Source organism: Homo sapiens, chromosome 17 (assembly GCF_000001405.40).
Source record: "Homo sapiens chromosome 17, GRCh38.p14 Primary Assembly".
Taxonomy (NCBI): Eukaryota; Metazoa; Chordata; class Mammalia; order Primates; family Hominidae; genus Homo; species Homo sapiens.
In genome coordinates this window covers 81,183,391-81,205,814 of record NC_000017.11, presented here as the reverse complement: position 1 = coordinate 81,205,814, position 22,424 = coordinate 81,183,391, and the positions used below count along the sequence as shown (strand labels likewise).

The following is a 22,424-nucleotide window of genomic DNA, read 5'->3' as shown; positions in this document are numbered from 1 at the left end:
AGATCCTCCCCCTTCAGCCTTCGGAGCAGCTGGGACCACAGGTGCACAACACCACTCCTGGCTAATTTTTAAATTTGTTGTAGAGATGAAGTCTCGCTGTGTTGCCCAGGCTGGTCTCAAACTCCTGGGCTCGGGCAATCCTCCTTCCTTGACCTCCCCAAAAGCCCTGGGATTACAGGTTTGAGCCCCCACACCTGGTCCTAAAATTTACCTTAGTATTTATCAGTTATATGTTCATACACAGCCAAAATGTCAAACAGCACCATAGGCTTAAAATGTGCTGCCCCTCCTACCCTCCCCACCCCTGCCCCTCCTACCTCCCCTCCCGCTGCCCCTCCTACCCCCGCGCCGCCCCTCCTACCCCCCCACCCCTCCTACCCCCATCCCGCTGCCCCTCCTACCCCCCACCCACTGCCCCGCTGCCCCTCCTACCCCACTGCTGCCCCTCCTACCCACACTCTTGCCGCCCCTCCTACCCCTGGCGCCTGCCCCTGAGGAGCAGCATCTTTTCAAGCTATTTCTTCTGGTGTTTTTTTGTTTGTTTGTTTTTGTTTTTGAGACGAAGTCTCGCTCTGTCGCCCAAGCCAGAGTGCAGTGGTGTGATCTCGGCTCACCGCAACCTCCGCTTCCCGGGTTCCAGTGATTCTCTTGCCTCAGCCTCCTGGGTAGCTGGGACTACAGGCGTGTGCCACCACACTAGGCTAATTTTTGTATTTTTAGTAGAGACGGGGTTTCGCTATGTTGGCCAGACTGGTCTCGAACCCCTAACCTTGTGATCCACCCGCCTCAGCCTCCCAAAGTGCTAGGATTATAGGTGTGAGCCACTGCGCCCGGCCATTTAGTGTTTTATTGAAAACATTTATGAATACATGCCATGCTGCTCATTCCTGAACAGCTCAAAATCAGTCCTGGTAGGTTATTCACACCACCCAAATTGGCAGATGAGCCGCGCTCCAAGAACCAGCTGTTGAACGTTTGTGAGTGCAGGCTGGTGCCAGGTGCAGGCCAGGCTGGTGCTGGGCGTGGGCTGGTGCCTGGTGCGGTCCGGTGCAGGTGTGGTCCGGTGCAGGTGTGGTCCGGTGCAGGTGCAGGCTGGTGCAGGTGTGGTCCGGTGCAGGTGCAGGCTGGTGCAGGAGCAGGTTTCGTGCATTGCTCTGCTCTCTGCTTATCCTCATTCCCATCATGTTCTGTTGGTTTGATTTTGGGCCTCTGACATGTTGGTCTTTGCCCAGATGTCTTGGTGGTTCTTGTTAAAAGGGAGGCCCTAGGAGTTAGCTGGAAGCCTATTGCCTGGTGGCTTCACTTCGGGGCACTGGTGCAGAGAGCAAGGCATTGTTGAGTATCCCCACCTACCAGTGTCTGTGGGACCCTCCTCACAGGCTGAGTCTCTCCAGAGACAAACCCCCAGCCCGCCCCAGGGTTCGAGTCCTGGCTGCCCGGTTGCACTGCTGGGGAGGGGTGGCGGTGGCTGTCCTGGGTGAATCACCCATCTCTGCCCCACCTGCAGGGCCAGCTGGGGAGGGCAGGGTGGATGCTAGCGGCTCAAGTGAGGGAAGGGGCTTTGCCGAGCAGCCAGATTCTCCCCTTTGCCTCAAAGCCTGTCCATGCCTGTGGGAGAACAGTGTGTCTCCGTGGGGGCACGGGACCTGCCAGCTCCTCGCCCTCCCTCCCCACAATGCCTGGACCCTCCCTTGTGTCCCAGTTGCTCTCTGCTGGCCCTTCTGTTTCTAATCCTCCAGGTCTGCAGATGCCCCTTTCCTGCAGTCTCCCCATCCCTCCTGTCAGCCTCGGTATTGGTCCTGTCCTCCCGCCTTCCTGCGGGTCTGCGGAGGGGCAGAGGCAGAGAATGTGGCTTCCATCCGTCGTGTGGGATGGGGCTTCGCTTCTGTGAGTCTGCTCTGGAAGCTGATTGTGAGCTGCTGGCCTGAGCTGCTCCCCCCGTCTTGGGCACGTCCAGCGTTCATGCCTCGATTCTATCCCCTGCCCCGTGGGAGCCCCTGGTCCAGCTTTCCTGTCCTGGGAAGAACCCCATCATCAGGGCGCAGGCTGTGGAAGGGGCCTGGGGACACTGGACGACAATGCTGCCAGCACGTAGCAAGCACTGAAGGCCTTTGTTCCCTCCCAGCCCGTGCTGCGAGTGTAGCTCTGAGATCTCAGGCGTCCCCTCCAGAGGCCTGACCATTCCTGTCTCTCTTCCGGCCTGGCAGGAGCAACAAGGGAGCAGTGGGCAACTGCGTCACCACCATGGTGCACAACCGCTACACCCCCTCGGAGAGGGCGCCTCCGCTCAAGAGCTCCAACCAGACTGCCCCCTCCCTCAAGTAAGGTCTTCTGGGGAGGCCGCGGGGCTGCGGGGTCCGACCTCAGTTAGGGCATGTAGTCAGTGCACCTGGGGTCCGACCTCGGTCAGGGCACGCGGTCAGTTCACACAGGGTTCTACCTTGGTCAGGGCATGCGGTCAGTGTGCATGGGGTCCAACCTCGGTCAGGGCACGTGGTCAGTGCACGTAAAACCGCGTGGAGCAGCTGTGAACCGGGCTCCCCATCCACGTCCGCCGCCCTCTTCTGTTCTTGGGTCGGCAGCTTCCCACAGAGAGAAAACAGCCCAGATGTGGCACAGTGAGGTCTGGGGCTCACCCTGAGGTGGGGCCCCCAGGAGGAAGCCAAGGCTTGTGCAGAGCCCAGAAGGCGTCACAGCGGGGGTGGACCGAGCGGGGCAAAGGAGCCCCCGAGTCCACCACCACATGGTCTTGCGGGGATTGGGGATGGCCTTGGGGTTGCTCAGGGGTCCCTCAGGCTCTGGACTCCTGTGACTTTTGGGAACTTTCTCAATGGAATTTTTTTTTTTTTTGAAATGGAGTTTCATTCTTGTTGCCCAGGCTGGAGTGCAGTGGCATGATCTCGGCTTACTGCAACCTCTGCCTCCCAGGTTCAAGCGATTCTCCTGCCTCAGCCTCCCGTGTAGCTGGGAGTACAGGTGCCCGCCACCATGCCGAGCGAATTTTTTTGTGTTTTTAGTAGAAATGGGGTTTCACCATGTTGGCAAGGCTGGTCTCGAACTCGTGACCTCAGGTGATCCGCCCGCTTTGGCCTCCCAAAGTGCTGGGATTACAGGTGTGAGCCAGGGCACCCAGCCTCTCAATGTAACTTTAGTGAGAAGTTTTTAAATGCAAAGAGCTCATTATCCTGGGTACCAGTGAGTGGGACCTTGTCAGGGCACAGGTGGTCCAGAGGCCAGGATGTGGCACGGGAGAGCCGGCCTCGCACCTGCCGCTGTCCCCCTCTGCCCCGGCTGCCAGCCTGCCAGCACCACTTCCAGGCTCAGTCCTGGGACTTCCGGGAGTGGGCACCTGCTGCCTGTGGGCAGAGCTGTTCCCCTGGGCGGTGAGACGAGGGTGTTTTCTTCTTACCTGTCAGCAACATCATCAAGGCAGCCACCTGTGAGGGCAGTGAGAGCAGCGGCTTTGGGAAGCTGCCGAAGAATGTCTCCAGTGCCACCCACTCAGCCCGGAACAATACTGGGGGCAGCACGGGCTTGCCCAGGCGGAAGGAGGTGACGGAGGAGGAGGCTGAGAGGTGACCGATCTTGGGGCGGTGGGGGGGGGCCTGAGCCTAGAACACAGAGGTGGGCAGGCATCAGGGTCTGGGGGGCTCACACCTCCGAGGATAGAAATTTCCATTTAATAATTGTTTTAATTTAATTTTTTTTTTTTTTGAGACAGAGTCTCGCTCTGTCGCCCAGGCTGGAGTGCAGTGGCGCGATCTCTGCTCGCTGCAAGCTCTGCCTCCCGGGTTCACACCATTCTCCTGCCTCAGCCTCCCGAGTAGCTGGGACTACAGGTGCCCGCCACCACGCCTGGCTAATTTTTTGTATTTTTAGTAGAGACGGGGTTTCACCGTGTTAGCCAGGATGTTCTCGATCTCCTGACCTCGTGATCCGCCCGCCTCCGCCTCCCAAAGTGCTGGGATTACAGGCGTGAGCCACCACCCCCGGCCTGTTTTAAAATATTGAGACCGAGCAGACCCCATGTGGTGTGGTTCTATTTACATAAAACACCAAGCAAAGGCAAGTTTATCACAGGAGGTCGAAGGCTGGTGTAGGGGTGGCAGAGAGGGCTCCTCCAGGGGCAGTGGAACATTCCAGAACTGCACTGTGCTGATGGTCACACAACTCTAGATTTGCTAAAAATCATTGACTTGTACACTGAAAATGGGTAGATTTTATAGTATGGAAATTGTACCTCAGTAAAACTGTTAATTAAAACAACATTAAAGGCAAAGAAGATACAGAACTGAAAAAAGCCAACAACACCCAAAGCTCCAGGGGCTGTGGGCGGAGCCTCCTGTGATGATGACTGTTGGGGGCTGTGCCCCTGCCGCTTGCCCCTGGGGAGCTGGAGGGGCTGTGGGCGGAGCCTCCTGTGACCATGACAGTCGTTTCTTGTCAGGACAGTCGCGGGGGTACCTCCCTGCCTGGACTTTCGGAGCCTGCTCCTGGCGGAGCCGTCACCTACCCTACCGCCCAGTTAGGGCTAGGGAGACCAGGCCTGTAGACGCGGTGGGTGGCACGAGGGAAGGGGGACCAGAAGCCCGCAACCCCTTGAAGCCCCCCAGTTCTGCCCGGGGCAGACTGCTCCCGAGCTAGGGCTCACACGTTCTGGGTTCTCTGTTAGTGCCTTTGCTGAGAGAATCCACACATGGTCCCGAGAGCCAAGGTGAAGCATTTTTTTTTTTGCTTAATCAGTTTTACTTAGTATAATTTGTATACAATAGAAGGTGCCCATTGTAAGTGTGCAGTTCCATGAGATTCCACCAGGGTGTATAGTGCTGTCTGTGGACACAGCAGACCAAGATAAGGAAACGGCCCAGCACCACCAGGCTTCCCTCGAGCTCCTTCCCCGCCCAGATGCCAGCAGCCACCAGTCTGTTCCCTCATAGCCCTGCCTGTTCCGACCACCCTCTCTGTGGAGCCACGGCCTGTGGTCTGCACTGGCCTGAGTCCCGGGCCTGTTGCCTGTGGGTAGGGTCCCGCCATCCAGTATTCACGCTGTAGCCAGGTCATGGGCATTTGAACTCTTCCCACTTCCTGGCAATTGTAAATAAGGCCACACAGGCCTGCGTGGGTAGGCGTTTCCTCTCCCCTGGGCACCTTCCCAGGAAGAAGGTTTTGGGTTTTAGTGGAGCTGGTCCAGGCGGCTGGTCCTGCCATGTGAAAATGGTCCAGGTGGGCTGGTCCTGCCTTGTGAAAAGGGCTACTTGAGTGCAGCCGCCGGCTTCTCTCTTCCCCGGCTCGACCTTCCACCAGCAGCCAGCTGGGTCCTGCCGGGGCGCTGGTCCTGTCTTGGCCCTGAGTCCTGCTCTCCGGGCAGGTTTATCCACCAGGTGAACCAGGCCACTGTCACCATCCAGCGCTGGTACCGGCACCAGGTGCAGCGGCGCGGAGCAGGAGCTGCCCGCCTGGAGCACTTGCTTCAGGCCAAGCGGGAGGTCAGTGTGGGCGTCTCAGTCACTCCATGCTCCCCCGGGGGGTCTGGCCCAGAATCCCAGGGGTTTGAGTTTCTGGGACAGGTGGAATCAAAGCCTAGGATTGCTCGTGGGCCCCGTCTCTGGGTGCAGCATCCTTCTTGACCCTGGGTCCCCGCGGACAGTCAGGGTGGTCCTCACTGGCGGTCCTCAGGGCCTGGGTGTCAGGAAACGCCTGCTGGGTCCATCCCAGGCTGGAGAGTCTCAGGAGGACGTTCTGTGGGGGCAGAGCTGTCTCCCCCACGCCAGAACTGTTGGCCACCTGCGACGTAGGGCTCATCCTCTGTAGAGCAGAGAAATGGCAGGTTCAAGGTCCTGGTGGGGTTTCACTTTCCCTGCTGGCCCTGAGATTCCACGAACTCTAGGGGACTCCAGGGCGTTGTGGGGAAACCTCTGGTCTGGGTCTGGATTCCGTCTTCCAGATGTAAACGCCACATGGCACCGGCTTCTTTGGCAGGAGCAGCGGCAGCGGTCAGGCGAGGGGACCCTCTTGGACCTGCACCAGCAGAAAGAGGCAGCCAGGAGGAAGGCCCGGGAGGAGAAGGCACGCCAAGCCAGGCGAGCAGCCATTCAGGTGCTGACCGCGCAGGGACCACTGAGCAGCACCGTGGCCCAGGCCTGACCGTGCGGGGCTGCTGCTGGGGCTCCCTGGGCCCCGGGACACTTAGCCTCAGGGCAGCTTGGCTGTGGAGCCTGGGGTCGTCCTCTCCCAGGGACAGTGCTCAGCGATGCTCCCACTGCAGGAGCTGCAACAGAAACGAGCCCTGAGAGCCCAGAAGGCGAGCACTGCCGAGCGTGGGCCACCTGAGAATCCCAGGGAGACCAGAGTGCCAGGAATGCGGCAGCCTGCTCAGGAGCTGTCCCCCACACCAGGCGGCACTGCCCACCAGGCCCTCAAGGCCAACAATACTGGTGAGAGTGGCTCCACGCCCGCCCTGCTCTGGGGGGTGGACTGCAGCCAGGAAGGAAGTGCAGCCCTTGTGGACCTCCTCTCGGCCTCCTGTGCTGCTGCCCATGTTGGCGGCCCCAGTCCTCGGAGTTAGGGGCCTTGGCCCCCAGCTGACCTGACGAGGGTGCCGAGACCTTGACAATCAAATGGTCCTGGACGTAGGGATCCCTACAGAGTAGAAGGCCCGGAAGGGAGGGGTGGCACTCATCCTCCACAGCTCCACACCCAGAAGGCCGTGGCTCCCCAGCGGCTCCTCTGCTTCTGGGGTCGCCTCCGCCTCCCCCATGCCTGGCTCCTTCCCGGGGGTGCCTCCAGAGTTGCTGCCCGCCCCGGGATGCTCCCTGTGGAATGGTGCTGTGTTCTGCTGTGCAGGTGGTGGCCTCCCTGCTGCAGGCCCCGGAGACCGCTGCCTGCCCACCTCCGACTCATCCCCAGAACCACAGCAGCCTCCAGAGGACAGGACGCAGGTCTGAGCACAGCTGTCCTTCACTCCATCATGGTTTTTGGCTTTAAGGGCCATGTCTGTGCCAGGGGTGTCCTGAGCTGAGCTTCTCCCAGCCCCTCCTCTGCTCTAGGGGCCACTTAAGCTCAGAGAGGCCACCCAGGAGGTGTCTTCTTGCTCTGATGCATGGTGCTGGCTGCCTCTTGGGGAGCCTTTGCTGGGGTGGATCCAGTTGGGTTTTTGCAGATGTCCTGGGGTGGGGGGCCTTGCATCCTCATCCACAAAAGAGGAGCTTCCGGCTCTGAGGGGTGACCTGACAGCCAAGGCTCCCAGGCTGCTCAATGGTGGGGCCAGGTGGCTGCACTCCTGTTTTCCTGGAGTGGGGCACTGGGAGGAGTCCCCTGGTGGCTGGAGCTGCTCTGGGTTTGAGCAGCTGCAGAGACCGGGTGGGAAGGTCTGAGCCCTGGCCTCACCTTCCTGGGGCTGAATGTCGGGACTGGGGAGCTCCCGCGGCGCCTTTGGGGCTCTGCGGTTGGCCTCCTATGTGGGGGCTGCTCTCAGCTACCAGCAGCCTTGCTGCATCTGTCTCCCTGCTCTTTTGCAGGACGTTCTTGCCCAGGATGCAGCTGGGGACAACCTGGAGATGATGGCCCCGAGCAGGGGGAGCGCCAAGTCCAGGGGGCCACTGGAGGAGCTGCTGCACACACTGCAGCTGCTGGAGAAGGAGCCGGACGTGCTGCCCCGCCCCAGGACCCATCACAGGGGCAGATACGCCTGGGCCAGCGAGGTGACCACGGTGTGCGCCCGCCCTGCACAGTCTGTCCACCCACGCCATTCACACAGAGCATGCGGTGGCTGTGGGGGTTGGGAAAATGGGGATGCCACAGGCTCCTCCTGGCTTTAGTCACAACCCTCCCTCCCAGAGCCCAGCCTCAGCTGCCACCTCTGCCTTTGGGGAACCCAAGTCCTCAGGCTGCCCTGACAGCCCCCGATGCTGGGCTCCTGTCCCACAGGAGGATGACGCCAGCTCTCTGACAGCTGACAACTTGGAGAAATTTGGAAAACTCAGTGCGTTCCCCGAACCTCCTGAGGATGGGACGCTGCTATCGGAGGCCAAGCTACAAAGCATCATGAGCTTCTTGGACGAGATGGAGAAGTCTGGGCAGGACCAGCTGGACTCCCAGCAGGAGGTGGCCCCTCACCAGCCCGCACCCGGCCCCCAGTGGGAGGAGGCCCCTCACGAGCCTGCACCTGGCCCTCGGGGGAGGAGGCCCCTCACCAGCCCGCACCTGGCCCCCAGGGGGAGGAGGTCTCTCGCCAGCCCCCACCCGGCCCCCAGCAGGAGGTGGTCCCTCACCATGTACCCACCTAGTTATGCAGCACCCCCCACGGGTCTCTCAGGGTGGAGGTGGCAGGGCCCGCATTCCCCATACTGCCCCCACCTACCCGCTGCCCCGAGCTGCCTCCACGAGCCCATATGTGTGGATAGTTCAGCCCTCTGGAGCCCTGCTGTCCTCTGGGTTGGTTTGTCCTGGGTGAACACTAGCGGCCAGGCTAAATGGAGCAGTGACGTGAACTTTATTGTCACAGGGCAGGAAGCTGGGCAGCATAGAACTTTTTAAATGGTTTGTTTTTTATTCCTGAGGCCACGGCCCCCATTTCCTGTACTGAGCAATGAAAACGACCTCTGCTGGGCCGCCTGCCACCTGCCCTCCGGCTTCCCACGGGCTCCCGTGTGCAGCAGCCCCTCTGTCCCCAGAGGGCAGGGCCGCAGGGGCATCGTGTCAGGTCCTTGGCTGCCCCCCGTCCTCTGCCGCTTCCGCCTGACGCTCGGCTGTGTCTGCAGGGGTGGGTGCCGGAGGCGGGGCCGGGGCCCCTGGAGCTGGGGTCCGAGGTGAGCACGTCTGTGATGCGGCTGAAGCTGGAGGTGGAGGAGAAGAAGCAGGCCATGCTGCTGCTGCAGAGAGCGCTGGTAACGCTGCTGGCACTGCTAATCCCGGGCCCTGCTAGCCTCCTACCTGCTGAGGCCAGGCCCACCGGTCCTAGCGCTTCCCTCCTCTGCCCACACCCTGCAGGCGCAGCAGCGAGACCTCACGGCCCGGCGGGTCAAGGAGACAGAGAAGGCGCTGAGCCGGCAGCTGCAGCGGCAGAGGGAGCACTACGAGGCCACCATCCAGCGGCACTTGGCCTTCATTGACCAGGTGAGCGGCCCGGGGAGCGCAGAGGCCCGGACCCAGCGCGTGGCTCATGGAGACTTCCAGAGCCAGGGGCTTCCCACTGCCAGGGAGCTTCTTCCTCTGTTGGGTGTCACACGGGTGTCCGCTGGACGCATTCCAAGCCTTTCCCATGCCATTCCCAGCCATGCATGCCCTGGAGAGGGCACTCCTGTCTTTATCCAGAGCCGCCCCGTGTGAGTGTAGTGGGGTGTCCTGCCGGCCCCTCAGCTCAGTCGCAGCCCCGGTTGGCTCCTGTTCTGAAGAGAAGAGACCTAGAGTTGGTCTGGGGTGTGTGAGAATAGGGGCCTCCAGGGCTGCTTGATAGTTGTCACAGGTGTGTCCTGACCTGGGGTCTGGCCTGGGGCCGGCAGTGAGGCTGGTGTGGTCCTGACACCCTTTGGCAGACAGTGAGCCTCCTCCAGGGCTGGGTGATGGCCTCGGCAGAGCTACCCTCATCCCAGGAAGACCCTGACATCACTGCAGGGGGTGGGCTGGGGCTTCTCTGACATTCGCCGGGTCCCCCAGCTGAGGACAGGACGGCGGATGCAGGCCTGGGCCCGTGTTTGCACACGTGCCCCCCCACTGGCCCCAGGGTCCATCCACAAACCTAGGAGGGGCAGCCCCAGGGGAGGGCTGCTGTTAGCCTCCCTCGGAGGCTGGGAGGGTCTCCTCCATCAGGGGTCCTGCTGGGCTGGGGCCTTGGTGTAGCACCTCACCTCCGGTCCCCAACACAGCTGATTGAGGACAAGAAGGTCCTGAGTGAAAAGTGCGAGGCTGTGGTGGCCGAGCTGAAGCAGGAGGACCAGAGATGCACCGAGCGTGTGGCCCAGGCACAGGCGCAGCACGAGCTGGTGAGGCTTTGCTCCCTACTGCACGGCGTCCCAAGCCCGGCTCACAGGCCAGGCTCAGCTGGCACAGCCCCCAGAACAGGACCGGACTTGGAGTCCTCATTCCTGTCTCGGTGTGTCAGGGCCACAGCGGTGGGTGGGGCTGTCTGGGGGAGCACCGTGGCACCGAGCTGGTCCACTCCTGCCTCTCTAGCTGCCAGGCTCTGGGGCGGGGCCGTGGGCCTGCTGTCACAGATGTGGACGCACAGTCCCTGCCCGGCCACAGCACGGTAGCCGTGGACCCAGGAGCCTCTGCCTGGTCTGCCCCACTGCCAGGTCCTTGGGCCATGGGACCTGCTCTCTCTACTGACCAGGTGTCGGTGGAGCATTGACTCCCCGCCCCTTCCCGCTGTGTGAGCTCCCTGGGGGCCTCAGCCTCCCTGGCTATGCTTCCCACCAGCTTGGGCAGTGATGGTCCCGAGCCCAGGTTCTGGAGTGGGGCTTGGCACTGGCATTTTAAAATCCCTGCACGTGACTGTGGCTGACAGCCGGGGTTGAGGACTGCCAGTCCCATGGAAGAATGCAGGCTCTGGGGCCGTCCCGACAGGCAGCAGCACCCCTCTCTGGGGCAAGGCCTCTGCAGGCTGATGGCTGCCCTCCCATGTCTCAGGCCACCAAGGTGTGTGGCAGGGTGGGCCTGGGCCTCCAGCCTGGCCCCGGGCGCTGGGGAGGGCAGCAGTGGCTCTGTCTCGGGGCAGCACACCCAACCATGAGTGCCGGCCTTGTGCTGGTGGACCTGGAAGCCCGGCCCTGACTGTGCCCACAGGGTGGCAAAGGGACGGGGGTGTCCTTCGTGTCGTTTCCTCCTGCCCTGTTCTGCTCGTAGGAGATTAAAAAACTCAAAGAATTAATGAGCGCCACCGAGAAAGCCCGCCGGGAGAAGTGGATCAGTGAGAAAACCAAGAAGATCAAGGAGGTCACTGTCCGAGGTGGGCCCTCCCCTCCCATGAGCCGGCCAGGTGTGGGGTGGGTGCTGCGGCCAGGGCTTCTTTTGAGAGAGCCATAACTTCAGGCATTCATGTAGTCCGAGACCTTCCTGGGCAGAGGTGAACACTCATGCCCCAACCACCCCCGTCACGGCCTCCGCTGCGGCTTCTGCCGTGACCCGGGGGGCAGGTGGGCTCCACACAGGAGCCTGGCCCAGCCCCCAGCATCTAGGCAGTTGCCTGAAACGAGGGGGCTCAGTGCCTCACTTCCTCAGGGTTGGGCTAGGGGAGATTGGGAGTTTGTGGACGACTGTGGCACGTGGGCCCTGCCACGGGAAGCAGAGTGAGCCACAGGAGGAGGCAGGGGCAGGCAGGCGGATGGGGCAGGAGGCTGGTGGGTGTTGTGGTCTGAAGGGGCCTCGGACCCTTGGGTGATGTGCAGGGCTCCCCGAGGCCTGGTCCTCTCGCTCTGGACACCTGCCAGGGTGCCTGGGAGCCGTCAGTGGTAGCACCAGGAGTGTCAGGAGCCCTGAGCCCCACAGGCTGGGAGAGGCGCCGTGGCCCTGTGGGGGTCTCTTCCCCACCTCGTGGGCGTCAAGACTCAGCTGTGCTTCGGGTTGGATCCAAGGAGGCCCTGGGTGGGCGGGGTCCCCTCTGGGCCTGAGACAGGCTGGTCTTGTGCCAGGGTTGGACTTCCCGGGCCCACCCTAGCTGGACGTGGCCCTAGCTGGTGCCCCGCCCCCAGGTCTGGAGCCCGAGATCCAGAAGCTGATTGCAAGGCACAAGCAGGAAGTGCGGAGGCTCAAGAGCCTGCACGAGGCGGAGCTGCTGCAGTCGGATGAGCGGGCCTCGCAGCGCTGCCTGCGCCAGGCCGAGGAGCTGCGGGAGCAGCTGGAGCGGGAGAAGGAGGCGCTGGGCCAGCAGGAGCGCGAACGTGCTCGGCAGCGGTGGGTGGTGGCCCCAGGCCGGTGGGGCCAGGACCCTCAGGGCGGGGAGTCGGAATCCTCGAAGGCTGGAGTGGAGTTCCCATGTAGAGGTGGGCGAGGGTCTTAGTGCAGCATGCAGGGAGGACGCAGGGCCCTTGGCCCTGGAGTGGCCCTTGGGGGCCCAGCCTCAGCCGGGCCAGTGTCCTCGGGCTTGTGTCTGCAGTTCATGCCCGCCGAGGTCTGCAGGTTCTGCATGGGTGCACGGGTGTTTTCCCAGGGTCAGGGCTGGGAACCCCCACCAGACATCCACTCTTTCACAACTGGCCCCAGAGCAGCAACCCGTGGATAGGCGGCCTCGAGGCCCCTCCAGCTCTGACCTTGGGGCCCAGGGACGGTCTCTCTCATTCACTCCCTTGGCCTGGGGTCTGAGGGGTGACTGCTGCTCTTGCGTCCTGAGCCCTGGGGGCTGGGGACGTGCCCAGTGGTGGTCAGGATCTGCGGGCCACAGGGGGCAGTGGCAGCCCCTCCTGCACTGTCTGCGCCACCAGGACAGCCTGGAAGCCACCCTCTCCTATCCACCCTGTTGCCTGTCGTGGCTGGTCCTCCCCAGATGCAGCTTGGCTGGTCCCCCAGTCTCTCCTCGAAGGTGGGGTCAGGACGAGGCCCTGGCGCGAGCTTGCTCAGGTCACGGAGCCAGGCACCTGGCACCCTCAGGCCGGAGGCAGGGGAGGTGGATAAGGCCCCACGAGGCACCTGCCTCCCGCCCTCCATGCCCGTGGGGCAATGCTGAACAGGGTGAGGCCGGCACACGGGCTGAGGGAAAAGGGGGCCTGGACGCGGCTCCACAGCCACTTCCCAAAGTGCCACGAGGGCCTGGAGCTCAGGGAATTGCTGCGCTTGGCTGATGGGCAAGTTCCTCGTGGCCTTGCCTGCCCCCGGGCGGTGGCTTTGAGGGGCCTTGACTGCCGAGGGGGAGGGGCAGGGCCCCGGAGGGCTGCTCTCCAGCTGTGAGTCAGGCCTGTGGTCGGCCCGTGCCCCTGCGGTGGGTGGGTCCTGGGACCGCCCGTCCCGGCCCCCGAGAGCCAGTCCTGACCGTCCCGCAGGTTCCAGCAGCACCTGGAGCAGGAGCAGTGGGCGCTGCAGCAGCAACGGCAGCGGCTGTACAGTGAGGTGGCTGAGGAGAGGGAGCGGCTGGGCCAGCAGGCAGCCAGGTGCCGCCCGGGGGCACCACGCCCTCTCCCAGGGACCCCTCGCTGGCTGACCCCTCCCCCCCGCCCCCTCACCCGCTGACCTCTCCCATCCCTGACTCCTTACTCGATGACCCCTCACCTGCTGACTCCTCCCTGGCCGCAGGCAGCGGGCGGAGCTGGAAGAGCTGAGGCAGCAGCTGGAGGAGAGCAGCTCTGCACTGACCCGAGCCCTGAGGGCTGAGTTTGAGAAGGGCAGGGAGGAGCAGGAGCGCCGGCACCAGGTCTACCACCGGAGGGCTGTGCTGGGCCTGGCCAGGGGGCTGCACGGGGTGGGACTGACTGGCCTCTTATGTCCGCCCCCCAGATGGAGCTGAATACCCTGAAGCAGCAGCTGGAGCTGGAGAGGCAGGCGTGGGAGGCCGGCCGCACCAGGAAGGAGGTGGGGGCCTGGGCACCCAGGTGGGCAGGGGTTGGGGGCTGCCCTGCGTGGGCAGGAGTTGGGGGCTGCCCCAGGTGGGTTTTGCTGCTGCTGTGGCATCCTGGGGGCTCGTTTCTGGGAGTCACATCTGGCTGCTTGGGGTTGTTGTCTGAACTGACGCTGAGTGTGTTGCTTTCAGCCCATCTTTTGCGTGGGCTCTGGAAGGATCAAGGGTGCCTGGAGCGCATCCTCTGTGGTCCGAGAACAGGCGTTGCCCCTCTCGCTAGGGGCTGCTACACCCCTGCGCCCCACGACCAGCCCACTGACACTCAGATGTACCGAGAGGGACACGCACAACAGGGGCTCCCCCCTTAGCCTCTGGGGCCTTCTGTGGGGGGTGGACTCTGCCACGGTGACAGTCCCACACACATTCTCACCACCCATGCCCGCCGCGAGGCTACAGTCCAGGCTGACCGTGCCCGTCACCTGGTTTCACACCCTGGTGGGCTGGGATGTCACCGAGCAGCCAGGCAGGCTTTGGCAGTGGATGCCTCTGGGCCCAGTAGCATGCTCCCGACGTAGCCCTGTGGGGCCCAGGGCTGGACAGATGAAACTCTGGGAGTTTTCAGAGGCTTCCAGGAGGCTGCCAGCTTAGGCTCTGAATGCCTGGGCTTGGGGGCCCAGGCCCCGCCCTCAGCAACACGCAAGTCCAACTTTCCCATCCCATCTGGTAGCAGAAGGTGGCCTCAGGTTGTCATGGGCTGTGGGTCTCTGAGGGAGGGGACCGTGGGCTGTGCATCATGACGATCTCTGGTACGCCTATGCCCACACTGGGTCCTGACAACAGGACGTAGCGCACCCCTGGACAGGGGTCTGGAGAGGGGGAAGGCCCCTTGCTCCCCTGTGGCTCAGAGCCTGGAGCCCCCCAGGACCCCCTGAGGCTGGCCCTGGCCCCGCGGGCCGGCTCCGGGTGGCAACCCCCAGGCAGCGCATGTCCCCCCAGGAGGCGTGGCTGCTGAACCGGGAACAGGAGCTGAGGGAAGAAATCCGGAAAGGCCGGGACAAGGAGATTGAGCTGGTCATTCACCGGCTGGAGGCCGACATGGCGCTGGCCAAGGAGGAGAGTGAGAAGGCTGCCGAGAGCCGGTAAGGACCCGCCATGGCTGGGTCACCAGCTGGGGAGGCCCACGAGCTGAGGCGCAAGGACCCGTGTGTGACTGGGCTGGAGTGACCCTGCCCTCCCCCCACCTCCAGCATCAAGCGCTTACGGGACAAGTACGAGGCCGAGCTCTCCGAGCTGGAGCAGTCGGAGCGGAAGCTTCAGGAGCGGTGCTCGGAGCTGAAGGGCCAGCTTGGGGAGGCCGAGGGCGAGAATCTGCGTCTGCAGGGCCTTGTGCGGCAGAAGGAGCGGGCGCTGGAGGATGCGCAGGCGGTGAGTGGGCGGGTGTCAGGTGGGCAGTGGGCACCCACAGGCCCCTCCTGCATGCACGCAGCCAGTCGCTGGCAGCCGGCTCACTGCCTTCTGTGCCCACCCAGGTGAACGAGCAGCTTTCTAGCGAGCGCAGCAACCTGGCCCAGGTGATCCGCCAGGAGTTCGAGGACCGGCTGGCAGCCTCTGAGGAGGAGACGCGGCAGGCCAAGGCCGAGCTGGCCACGCTGCAGGCCCGCCAGCAGCTGGAGCTGGAGGAGGTGCACCGGAGGTGGGCGGCGGGGGCTGCAGGGCTGGAGACGGAGGCGGGGCAGGGGAGCGGGCAGGACCTCTGCAGCTCCAAGCCCCAGGAGGCTGTGGCTGAGGAAGGCCAGGAGATGCAGAGACAGGGCCCTGTAGACAGAGGCTGGTGTGGGTTCCATGTTTGGGGCCCAGGAGACCTAGATCTGTTTTCCTCCCTGGTGCTTAGTCTAGGGTGTCGGCCATCCCTGTTGGGGCACCCGAGTGGGTCGGGTCTGGGCCTGGCGAGTTCTCCAGGGAGTCAGCTCCCGGGGCCCTGGGCTGGGTGGACAGGCGCTGAAAGAGCTGGGGCACTGTAAGGTTCCCAGCGAGCTCCCTCCACGGGGGTCCTGCATCCTTCCTGTGCCATCTGCTGCCACAGGCTGAGAGGTGGGTGTGGGCGAGGTGTCCCACCCCATCTGGGTACCAGGCCTCCCCAGGTGTGGCCAGGGTCATACTCCAGTGGCCTGTGTTGGGTCCTGACTCACAGCAGGTGGGTTGCCTGGACAGCTGTCTGGGCCAGCCACAGGAGTCGTGGTCAGCAGGGCTGGGACCAGGCTGACCAGGCGGCTGCCCCGTGCACCCTGTGCACTGCAGGCCACTCTGGGGACATGGGGCGGGGGCCACACTGAAGCCTACCATGTACTACCCACAGGGTGAAGACAGCCCTCGCGAGGAAGGAGGAGGCCGTGAGCAGCCTCCGGACACAACATGAGGTGAGTCCCTGTGGCCAGCCCTGCTGGACCTCGGGGCTGGGAGCAGGCCTGACCCTGTGGGTGTGCTGCAGGCTGCGGTGAAGCGGGCCGACCACCTGGAGGAGCTGCTGGAGCAGCACAGGAGGCCCACGCCAAGTACCAAGTGACCAGGGATGCCGGGAACACTGTCGAAGAACGGAAGGCAGAGGACAGAGGCTGGACGTGGGCCCAGAGGCCCACAGGGACGCCCACCTGCCCCCCACAGAGGCTGGTGGTTGAGATGCCCACGGCTAAGCACCTGTGGCTGCATTTTAACAGTAAAGGAGGCCGTTGTTTTCAGCGCCTTGAGTGACTGCCTTGTCTTCTCTCCTGGGCTAGAGGCTGCCCAAGACCCCCAGAGCAGCCAGGCGTGGGTTTGGCTCTCTTCCTCCCACTCCCCTCCGCAGCCTGAGCAGGCTGACCAGGAAATCACGAAGCTTGGCCATCAGCCCCCCAGCTAGCAGCCCTCAACACTCAGCCAGCAGCCCCCAGCACTCAGCCAGCAGCCCCCCTGCACTCAGCCCTCAGCTCCCCAGCATTCAACCCAACCCCCAAGTTCCTGTTCCCTGCCTTGCCCTGGACCCTGGAAGTCCCAAGCACAGGGAATTCCCTACCCCGTTCCTGGCCAGGCGCAGGAGGAACTCAGCAGAACTCACCCCCTGGGAGGAGCTCCGAGGGCCCCGCCGTGGCCCTGCAGGTGCTGGAAGCCCATGGCTGCCAGCGTGCTCCTATGGCTGGAGAGACTCCAGAGGGACAGGAAGCCCTACCCTCCCCGCTGTCAAGGTGTGACAGTCTGGAGCTCTCAAGAAATGGGGATGGACAGGGCCCACCCATGAGGATGGGGGCACTGGGGAAGGTCCCAGGCAGGAGAGGGTACCACTGGCCCAGAGCATCTCTTCACACCCAGCCTGGTTCTCAGCCCAGGTCAGCTTGGCCTGGTCAGTTCAGAACCTGCCCCAAATCCTCAGGGGGGCAGCCCTCCCTCCACCTCCGTCTACACTGACCAGGAAGTGAGTGTTGGATGCCATCTCACTGGGATGGGAGGTCCAAAGCCGCGCCTGAACGCTTGGTGGCAGACAAGGGTCTCCAAGCAGGCCGCACTATCCTGGGACCGGGCTTTGGGGTCGCTCAGGCTGCCACACCACAGTGTCCCGGCGTCTGCACCGGGTAGACCCATCGCCCCCGAGCCTGTCTTCCTACCTGCAGCATGGCTAGGACCTCCCTGGCCGCAGCAGCTGCCTGGGGTCCTGGGAAGCCCCCTGTGGAACAGAGGTGCTGCTGGCTACCCAGGCCTGCTCCAACACCCTGCCTGAGGCTTGCTTTCCCCCAGGAGGGGCTGGCCAGGCTTAGGTCCTCGTGCCCAGCGCCATCCTGCTGGCCAAGTCACTGCCCTGGACACAAGGCATGTCCTGGTCCTTACGTCTTTATCCTTCCAGGTGGCATCGTCCCTGGTCCCCTTGCGGGCTTCGGTGACCAGGGATGTGAGTGAGATGGGCCTTGTCCTGCATCTGGTGTGGGTCCCCCACCCGGCAGGGGGTGCAGGGCAGTGGGTCCCTCTCGCTCACCACCCCCCAGGTTCCCAGGTCCAGGCCTCGGGGAGCCCAAGCCAGGAGGAGCTGAGGACCTCAGGGGTGAACTAGGAAAACGCCCCTAACAGGGACAGGGCCCAGGCAATGTGGCTTCAGGGGACTGTGTGCAAATCATGCTTGTGGACCTGGGGCGTGGCGGGAGGCCCAAAGGTGGGCATCCGGATGTTGGAATCAGAGCTGGAGGCTCGGCCTGGAGCCGTGTGTGGCACTGGGCTCGGTATCCAGAGCACAGGACAGGGCAGTGCGGGTCCCCGGGGTCGTGGTTGGTCACGCAGAACCACTGCTGGGCCTTCCCCCTTTTGCAGACAGGGCCAGGCCTGTGTGAAGGTGAAACGCACAGCAGGGACAGAGCCTAGGGGGTGGGAGGGGCGGCTTCTGCCATCCCCTAGGTCACTGTGAGCCCTGCTTGTCTTGGGCACTCAGGCTCAGCTCAGGGGCCACCCCACTCCCAGGGCCTGCTCCCGGGCCAGGGTGAGACCCAGGCACCTCTTGGTGAGGCTGCAGAGAGGAGCCGAGGATGACAGCCGTGTCCCTTATGATGAGTTGCTGTTGGCCAGGCCCCATGCTGAGGACAAAGCTCCGGAGGCCTCACCAAAGCCTGTGTGGGGGCAGTGGCCCCCAGGGACGATGGTGACACTGGCTGCAGGGTGCTGAGAGCTGAGTCACTCAGCTGGGCTTTAACTCCAGAGCTTCACCCAAATGTGAGCTCAGCTGGCCAGGCGGGCTCTGAGAACGGGGGCCTGTGGATCTCAAGTCCTGAGCCCCACACCTCCGTCACCGCAGCTGAAGCCCCCAGGAACCGGCTCCCAGGAGCAGTGCAGGGCCAAGCTTTCTGCGGGGAAAGCAAGCTTTCTGTTCTGGCTCACATTCGGGTGCCCTGGCCGCAGAAAAGGTATTTTTATCATTGAAATGGCTGCGAATTACTAAACTAAGTATGTTTACAAGGTCTCCGGCAGGACACACAGGGTGACCTCCACAGAGATGGTGAGAAGAGGCCTGGGACACTCATGGCCAGAAAAGGAGTGAGAAACGGGTGTGGCCTTCAGCTGGGGGCATCCCCGGCTTCCCAGCCCCTGCTTGATGGGTTTTTCATTTGCTCGTTCATTTCTCCTTCATTCCTGAGTCCTTCATTTGTTGGCTCACAAGGACGTGTGGAGGGCCTTTTGCATTTGGGGCCGCCTCTGGATCGTTGCATCTCTTGGATTTTGTTTCTCGTTGTTGTTTTAATTTTAATTTTATTTGTTTATTTTTATTTATTTATTTTTGAGACAGTCTCTTGTTGCCCAGGCTGGAGTGCAGTGGCATGATCTTGGCTCACTGCAACCTCCGCCTCCCGGGTTCAAGCGATTCTCCTGCCTCAGCCTCCCAAGTAGCTGAGACTACAGGCGCCCGCCACCACGCCCAGCTAATTTTTGTATTTTTTAGTAGAGACGGAGTTTCACCATGTTGGCCAGGCTGGTCTCGATCTCTTGACCTCATGATCCACCCGCCTCGGCCTCCCAAAGTGCTGGGATTATAGGCATGAGCCACCGCGCCTGGCCTAATTTTTATTTTTTGAGACAAGGTCTTGCTCTGTCGCCCAAGCTGGAGTGCAGTGGCGCGATTATAGCTCACTGCAGCCTCGAACTCCTAGCCTCCAGTGATCCCCTGGGGCCTCAGCCTCCCAGGTAGCTGGGACTACCTGGTAGTGGGAAACCATGCCCAACTACTTTTGTTTTACTTTTTGAGGACAGTCTCACTATGTTGACCAGATTGGTCTCAAACTCCTGGGTTCAAGTGATCACCCCCACCCCAAAGTGGAATTACAGGTGTGAACCACCATGCCCAGCCTGTTGGGTTTTAATTCAAATTTTAGATGAAGAGACTGGGGCTGCGTATCATTCCTGTCTCTGCTGCCCTCCAGTCACGTGGCCTCACGTGTTGTGCTGATGAGAAAGGTGTCCCTGAGAGGCTGGAACATTGAGGGGAGGGCCTGTCTGCCAGGCGGCTTCACCTGGACAGGGGTGCCTGGGGAAGGGGGCTGAGATGGCGTTTCTCCTCCCTGTGGGGAGTGGAGTGCGGGAGGCTGGGAGTGGGGTGGGAAGGGGGCGGCTCTATGCTCCAGGGGCAGCTATTAGGCCCCAGCCTTCCGGGAAAGGCCCCAGGTCAAACCTGTTGCCCTGAGCCTTCCCGCTGCTTCTGCTCCAGGTAGTTCTAGTGCCCAACAGACAGCAACACAGAGGTGGGCTTCACCCAGCAAGACACTGTGGAGGTCCTCAGGGGCTTGGAGGGGTCTCTGAGTCACGGTGGGGGGCACCCCGAGTCTTACCATTGAGAAAGCTGGGCTCCCTTCCCCCCAGCTAGTTCACTTCCCTGTCTAGGTTGATGGGCAGTTGGGGGTGGGGGGAGGGCTTCGGGGCGGGGGCCAGACCCTAGAAGCACAGATGGACTCTGCCCGGGGTTCATTCCACCCCACCTGGCTCGCCGCCCTCATGGGCTCCATTCTCTCCCTGGCAGAGCCTGCTTCTTTGAGACAGTTCACAGCATCAACCAAATCATCTAAGTCCACGTGCTGTCGATGCCAGGCCTAGAATTTGGGGTACGGCAATTCTCCTGCCTCAGCCTCCCAAGTAGCTGGGACTAGAGGTGCCTGTTACCACACCCAGCCCTCGAGGGGTTTATGTTCCAGCAGGGTAGACGGACAGAAAGCAGGAAACTTAACATTTCACAATGCCCACCTTTATTTCTGTCCCCTCCTGCGAGCTTCCTTTTTTGTTCTTTTCCTAACTTCTTGGGAAGGATGCTTAGATCATTGATTCCCAGGCCCTTTTCCTTTGGAGTCTGTGCGTCTAAGACTGTGAGTTTCCCTCAAGGCACCGTTTGAGCGGCAGCCACAAGTTGACGTGTTGTATTTTCATTCTTCTTTGGTGGGAAACATTTCCAAATTTGCAGGATGGTCCCTTTGAACCATAGGCTGTTTAGAACTGTGCTGCTTTTTTTATCTTTTAAATTTCTAACTTAGCTTCTCTATGGTCAGAGAATGTTCCATAATATTTCAGTCCTTTGACTTGACTGAGTCTCACTTTAGGTCCCAGCATTTGGACAATTTTGGTAAATGCTTTACATATTTAAAAATAATGTGCGTTCTGCAGAGACAGGGGTTCGCCATGTTGGCCAGGCTGGTCTTGAACTCCTGACCTCAGGTGATCCGCCTGCCTCAGCCTCCCAAAGTGCTGGGATTACAGGCATGAGCCACCGCACCCGGCCCCTTCTTTTTATTTTCAAACTTTCTATGGCCTCTGAGCACAGCGCGAAAGCTGCCCCAGATAGTCCAAAACCAGGTTTGGCCGGTGTTGGGCTGGATCTGGCCCTGGGACTGACTTTTGCCAACCCCCTGTCCGGTGGGCTCACTGTGGCTGTGGCTGACGGGGAGGGGAGGGGCTGAGCTCTGGGCTCTGCACTGACGGTGAGGGCAGCCTCCAGTTGGTGAGGTCGGGTCGGGTTCTCTGCTGTTCTTACTCCCACTGGGTAGCCCATAGCAGCTGTAGCCAAAGCCCCTCCTCCCGGACAGGCCCTGGACAGCAGGAGGCCGCCCGGCGCCCTCTCAGTCCCACTGCTGACTGGCAGACGCCCGATGGGGCAGCCTGTACCGCCTGCACTCACCTCTCAGAGCTCCCCTGCTCTGGATCTTAGCACCCCTGCTTTGTTTGCTCATAATAAACGCGTGCATACGCCAATGTCATAGCATATTAGGGGATGGGGAATGCTTTGGGGAAAAGACCTGGTCTAGGGGGATGCAGGATGTTGGCGAGGGTGAGTGAAATATCAAACAGGGCAGGTAAAGACGACCTCATTGGGATTCGACATTTGCAGAAAACATCGAAGAAGAGAGAGTCTGTCTTGCAGCCGGATGTCTAGGGAAGAGCATGCCAGGCTGAGGGCTGGAGGTGCAAAGGCCCCAGGGCAAGGTGGCGCCTGGCTGAGGAGGCAAGGGGGCCACGTGGCTGCATCAGGAGGGGCAGGACCTGGGGGTCTCAGGTCAGAGGGAAAGTGGGAGTCAGAGTGCCTGAGGCCCCTAGAGTCACCCTATGTGAGGGGAGAGCCCTCCAGACACCAAGATGAGGAAGGACCTTCAGAGGGTAGAGGTGGAGAGACCAACCAGGGGGCTGTGGTGGTTGCCCAGGCGAGAGTGACCATGGCCAGGGTGGTGCGGGCAGTGGGCTCTGTGTGTATTTCACGACGGAGCCTGTAGTTACACGCAGGTGGGCTGTGAGGATGGTGTGTGAATCAGCCTCACTCTTGCTGCTGCGACAAATAGACCCTGACATTGCCACACTCGCCCCTGGAATGGCTGTGTTCTCACTCCCGTAAGTCCAGCAAGGGTTCCCCTGATGGGCGGGTGTCTTCCCTTCTGGGGTGAGCCGGGACTCAGGCTCCCAACACCCTCCGTGCCACCAGCCCAGAGGGCCTGGAGTCCTGTGTGGCCAGTGAGCAGCTGGAGGGCAACACCCACACCCACTAATGGCACCAAGGGGACCCAGACCCCTGCCGCTCACAGGACCTGGGGGCTGGGAACTGCCGGGGCTGGAGGCCCTTAAGCCACCAGATGAGGGGGTTCCAGGCAGGTGAGTGTGGGTGGGACAGAGGACCAAGGACTGGGCTGGGGTCCTGCCGGAAGCACTAAGTGGGGAGAGGAGCACCATGGAGGGAGACACGCAGCCAGGAGATAGAAGGGCCCGGCCCGGGGGCCTGAGCAGGCAAGAGATGGAGGTGGAGGGTCTGCTGGGTGCTTTGGCCTGGAACGAGGCCCCTGCCGGGGGCACCCAGGGGCTGCAGGTGTCCCCATACTGCGTTCAGGTATGGACTGGGAGTGCGTGGCCTCAGGCCAGGTCCATTGCAGATTGGGAAGGGGCCCTTCAGGGGTTTGGGCCCAGAGAG

The 22,424-nt window shown here is 62.1% G+C and overlaps 1 protein-coding gene across 20 annotated transcripts in view, besides 2 other annotated features; it reads left to right on the top strand.

The window, feature by feature from the left end:
* Window positions 1-16,219, top strand: part of CEP131 (centrosomal protein 131) — a 33,370-nt gene extending 17,151 nt beyond the window's left edge. For 2 of the 20 annotated variants that reach the window (NM_014984.4, XM_047435657.1), the window contains exons 6-26: window positions 2,208-2,321; window positions 3,417-3,575; window positions 5,369-5,486; window positions 5,980-6,096; window positions 6,266-6,434; window positions 6,844-6,938; window positions 7,518-7,700; window positions 7,927-8,103; window positions 8,760-8,885; window positions 8,989-9,114; window positions 9,864-9,980; window positions 10,843-10,945; window positions 11,688-11,889; window positions 12,972-13,079; window positions 13,222-13,339; window positions 13,423-13,497; window positions 14,480-14,622; window positions 14,731-14,908; window positions 15,013-15,176; window positions 15,840-15,900; window positions 15,972-16,219. In NM_014984.4, the coding sequence (NP_055799.2) occupies window positions 2,208-2,321; window positions 3,417-3,575; window positions 5,369-5,486; window positions 5,980-6,096; window positions 6,266-6,434; window positions 6,844-6,938; window positions 7,518-7,700; window positions 7,927-8,103; window positions 8,760-8,885; window positions 8,989-9,114; window positions 9,864-9,980; window positions 10,843-10,945; window positions 11,688-11,889; window positions 12,972-13,079; window positions 13,222-13,339; window positions 13,423-13,497; window positions 14,480-14,622; window positions 14,731-14,908; window positions 15,013-15,176; window positions 15,840-15,900; window positions 15,972-16,046 (2,728 nt within the window). In that variant the 3' untranslated portion in view covers window positions 16,047-16,219. Of the gene's footprint in view, window positions 1-2,207; window positions 2,322-3,416; window positions 3,576-5,368; window positions 5,487-5,979; window positions 6,097-6,265; window positions 6,435-6,843; window positions 6,939-7,517; window positions 7,710-7,926; window positions 8,104-8,759; window positions 8,886-8,988; window positions 9,115-9,863; window positions 9,981-10,842; window positions 10,946-11,687; window positions 11,890-12,971; window positions 13,080-13,221; window positions 13,340-13,422; window positions 13,498-14,464; window positions 14,623-14,730; window positions 14,909-15,012; window positions 15,177-15,839 lie in introns of all 20 variants that reach the window. The other 18 variants (NM_001319228.2, XM_047435656.1, NM_001009811.4 and 15 more) reach the window with 16 other exon arrangements.
* Window positions 12,179-12,896: an enhancer, noted in NCBI's record as "H3K27ac-H3K4me1 hESC enhancer chr17:79166719-79167436 (GRCh37/hg19 assembly coordinates)". NCBI's record gives its function as "activates a minimal SCP1, AML or CMV promoter by ChIP-STARR-seq in primed H9 embryonic stem cells {active_cell/tissue: H9 hESC(primed)}" and the evidence as "EXISTENCE:reporter gene assay evidence [ECO:0000049][PMID:30033119]".
* Window positions 17,557-18,128: an enhancer, noted in NCBI's record as "H3K4me1 hESC enhancer chr17:79161487-79162058 (GRCh37/hg19 assembly coordinates)". NCBI's record gives its function as "activates a minimal SCP1, AML or CMV promoter by ChIP-STARR-seq in naive and primed H9 embryonic stem cells {active_cell/tissue: H9 hESC(naive and primed)}" and the evidence as "EXISTENCE:reporter gene assay evidence [ECO:0000049][PMID:30033119]".